Source organism: Homo sapiens, chromosome 3, assembly GCF_000001405.40.
Source record: "Homo sapiens chromosome 3, GRCh38.p14 Primary Assembly".
In the NCBI taxonomy this organism is placed as follows: Eukaryota; Metazoa; Chordata; class Mammalia; order Primates; family Hominidae; genus Homo; species Homo sapiens.
The window spans coordinates 163,127,994-163,131,572 of NC_000003.12; the positions used below are offsets into that span (position 1 = coordinate 163,127,994).

Sequence of the window (3,579 nt, forward strand, 5' to 3'; positions counted from 1 at the left end):
TTCAATTTCATTTAGTTCCGTTTTGATCTTGGTTATTTCTGTTTTTCTGCTTGGTTTGGGTTTGTTCCTGTTTCTAGACTGATAGAGAGATAAAAATAGAAGAGAAAAGATAAAAATAAGCTCAATTAGAAATGAAATGGGGGTATATTACAACTGATACCACATAAATACAAAATATCATTCAGGAATACTATGAACACCTTTACTTTTATAAACTAGAAAACCTAGAGGAGATGAGTAAATTCCTGGAAATACGCAACCTTCTTGGATTAAACCAGCAAGACACAGAAATGCTGGAAAACCAATAACAAGCAGTGACATTGAAATGGTAATTAAAAAATTACCAACAAAAAAAAAGTCCAGGACCAAATGGATACGGAGATGACTTCTATCAGATATTCAAAGAAGAATTAGTACCGATCCTATTTACACTATTCCAAAATGTAGAGAAAGTGGCAATCCTTCCTAAATCGTTCTATAAAGCCAGTATCACTCTAATACCAAAAGCAGGAGAAAACAGAAGAAAAAAAGTAAACCACAGACCAATATCCCTGATTAACATAGATACAAATATCCTCAACAAAATACTAGCTAACTGAATACAACAGGAAATCAAAAAGATAATTCACCTGTTTAGTGGGTTTTACACCAGAAATGTAGGGATATTTTAACATTCACAAGTCAATAAATGTGATATACCACATAAACAGAATTAAAAACAAAAATTACATGATCATCTCAATAGACACAGAAAAAGCATTTAACAAAATCCAGTATTCTGTTATTATTAAAACACTCAGCAAAATTGCCTGAGAAGGTTCATACATTAAGGTAATAAAAGCCATCTATGACAAACCTATAGCCAACATTATACTGAATGAGGAAACGTTGAAAACATTACCTGTGAGAACTGGAATAAGACAAGAATGCATACTCTCACTACTTATATTCAACATAGTACTAGAAGTCCTAGCCAAAGCAATCAGACAAGAGAAAGAAATAAAGGACATCCAAATTGGTAAAAAGGAAATCTAACTGTCACTGTTTGCTGATGACCTGACTGTATAGTTAAGAAATTCTAAAAACTCATCCAAAAGCTTCTAGAGCTGGTAAATGAATTCAGTAAAGTTTCAGGATACAAAAATAATGTATAAAAATTGGTAGCCCTGCTCTACACCAACAGTGACTAAGATGAGAATCAAATCAATAACTCAACCCCTGCTGCAGACCCTATTGGACTGAACAAAGGAGGACAAATGCAGGAATAAAGACAAAGACAAAAGAATATATTTGGAAGAATGAGTCAGGGGGCTTCTTGCTTCTGGTGAACAAGGGCCCTGAGCTTCTATTGCCCTTCATATTTATGGAGTAAAGGAGATAGGGAGAAGGGGGTGATTGTGGTCACCTGCTTGACTCAGTGCAGGCCTGCATGACTGCATTCTTTGAACAGTAGTCTCCAGATGTTCCAGTAGATAACCTGAAGGAGCACAGCACCAGGGAGTGATTGCCCTCAGCAAACTTCCTGGCGGCAGGTGCAGTTGCGAGTTTGCCCACATCCTGCATTCATGATAAACAGTTTGCTGTTTGATCATATAGCCTCCAGTGGAATACTGAGTTGGTCATGACCCACAGGCTTTCGGCTCTCTACAAACCCCTTTTAAAATAGCTGCAAAAAATAAAATAAAGTACCTAGAAATACTCATAACCAAAGAGGCGAAAGACCTCTACAAGGAAAACTAAAGAACAATGCTGAAGGAAATCATAGAAAACACAAACAGATAGAAAAATATCCCATTGTCATGGTTGGGTAGAATCAGTATTGTGAAAATGACCATACTGCCAAAAACAATCTGCAAATTCAATGCAATTCTTATAAAATACTACCACAATTCTTCACAAAACTAGAAAAAACAATTCTAAAATTCATATGGAACCAAAAGATAGCCCACATAGCCAAAGAAAGACTCAGTAAAATCAATAAATCTGGAGGCATCATATTACCTGACTTCAAACTATACTGTCAAGCCATAGTCACCCAAACAGCATGGTGCTGGTATAAAAACAGATATATAGACCAATGAAATAGGTGAAAGAACCCAGAATTAAAGCCAAATACTTAAATCAACTGATCTTTGACAAAACAAACAAAAACATAAAGTGGGGAAAGGACATCCTATTCAACAAATGGAGCAGAGATTATTGGAAAGCCACATGCAGAAGAATGAAACTGGATCCTCATCTCTCACCTTATACAAAAATAAACTCAAGACATATCAAATGCTTAAATATAAGACCTGAAAACTTAAAACTTCTGGAAGATAACGTTGGAAAAATCCTTGGAGACATTGGTTTGGGCAAAGACTTCATGACCAAGGACCCGAAAGCAAATGCAACCAAAACAAAGATAAATAAATGGGATTTAATTAAACTAAAAAGCTCTGCACAGCAAAATAAATAATCAGCAGAGTAAACAGACAACCCATAGTATGGGAGAAAAATCTTCAAAATCTATACATCTAACAAAGAACTAATATCCAGAATCTACATGGAACTAAAACAAATCAGAAAGAAAAAAACAAATAATCCCATCAAAAAGTGGGCTGAGCACATGAATAGACAATTCCCAAAAGAACATATACAAATGGCCACCAAACATATGAAAAAATTCTCAACATCACTAATGATCAGGGAAATGCAAATTGAAACCACAATGCGATACCACCTTCATCCTGCAAGAATGGCCATAATTGAAAAATCAAAAAACAGTAGATGTTGGCATGAATGTGCTGAAACAGGAACACTTTTACACTGTTGATGGGAATGTAAAATAGTACAACCACTTGGTAAACAGTGTGAACATTCCTTAAAGAACTAAAAGTATAACTACTGTTTGATCCAGCAATCCTACTCCTGGGAATCTACCTAGAGGAAGAGAAGTTATTATACAAAAAAGATACTTGTACTGTCATGTTTATTGTAGTCCAATTCTCAATTGCAAAACTATGGAATCAGCCCAAATGCCCATCAATCAATGAGTGGATAAAAAATATGGGGTGTGTGTATATATATATATATATATATATATATATATATATATATATATATGTATGGGGTTTGTGTATATATATATATGTATGGGGTGTGTGTGTATATATATATATCTATATATATCATATATATGATATATATATGATATATATAGATATATATAGATATATATATGGCATGAAATACTTCTCAGACATTGAAAGGATTGAAATAATGGCATTTGCAGCAACCTGGATGGAACTGGAGAGCATTATTTTAAGTGAAGTAATTTAGGAATGAAAAACCAAACATTGTACATCATATGTTCTCACTCATATGTGGGTGCTAAGCTATGACAACACAAAGGCATCAGAACAATGCAATGGACTTTGGGGACTAAGGGGAAAGGATAGGAGGGTGATTAGAGATAGCACAGGAGAGAGGCTGAGAGGGGGCTGAGGGCAGCTTGGTGTGTGCCTGCAGGCACCCCTTGGCAAGAACAGCCTATGTGCCATGGATTACATGATTGATGGCAGCAGGAGGCAGAGTGGG

General features: G+C 35.4%; 1 annotated feature.

Moving 5' to 3' along the window:
• Positions 1 to 170: an enhancer, noted in NCBI's record as "experimental_66277 CRE fragment used in MPRA reporter constructs". NCBI's record gives its function as "activates a minimal promoter by MPRAs in K562 erythroleukemia cells, with activity observed for the non-introgressed 3:162845867 variant allele {active_cell/tissue: K562}" and the evidence as "EXISTENCE:reporter gene assay evidence [ECO:0000049][PMID:34662402]".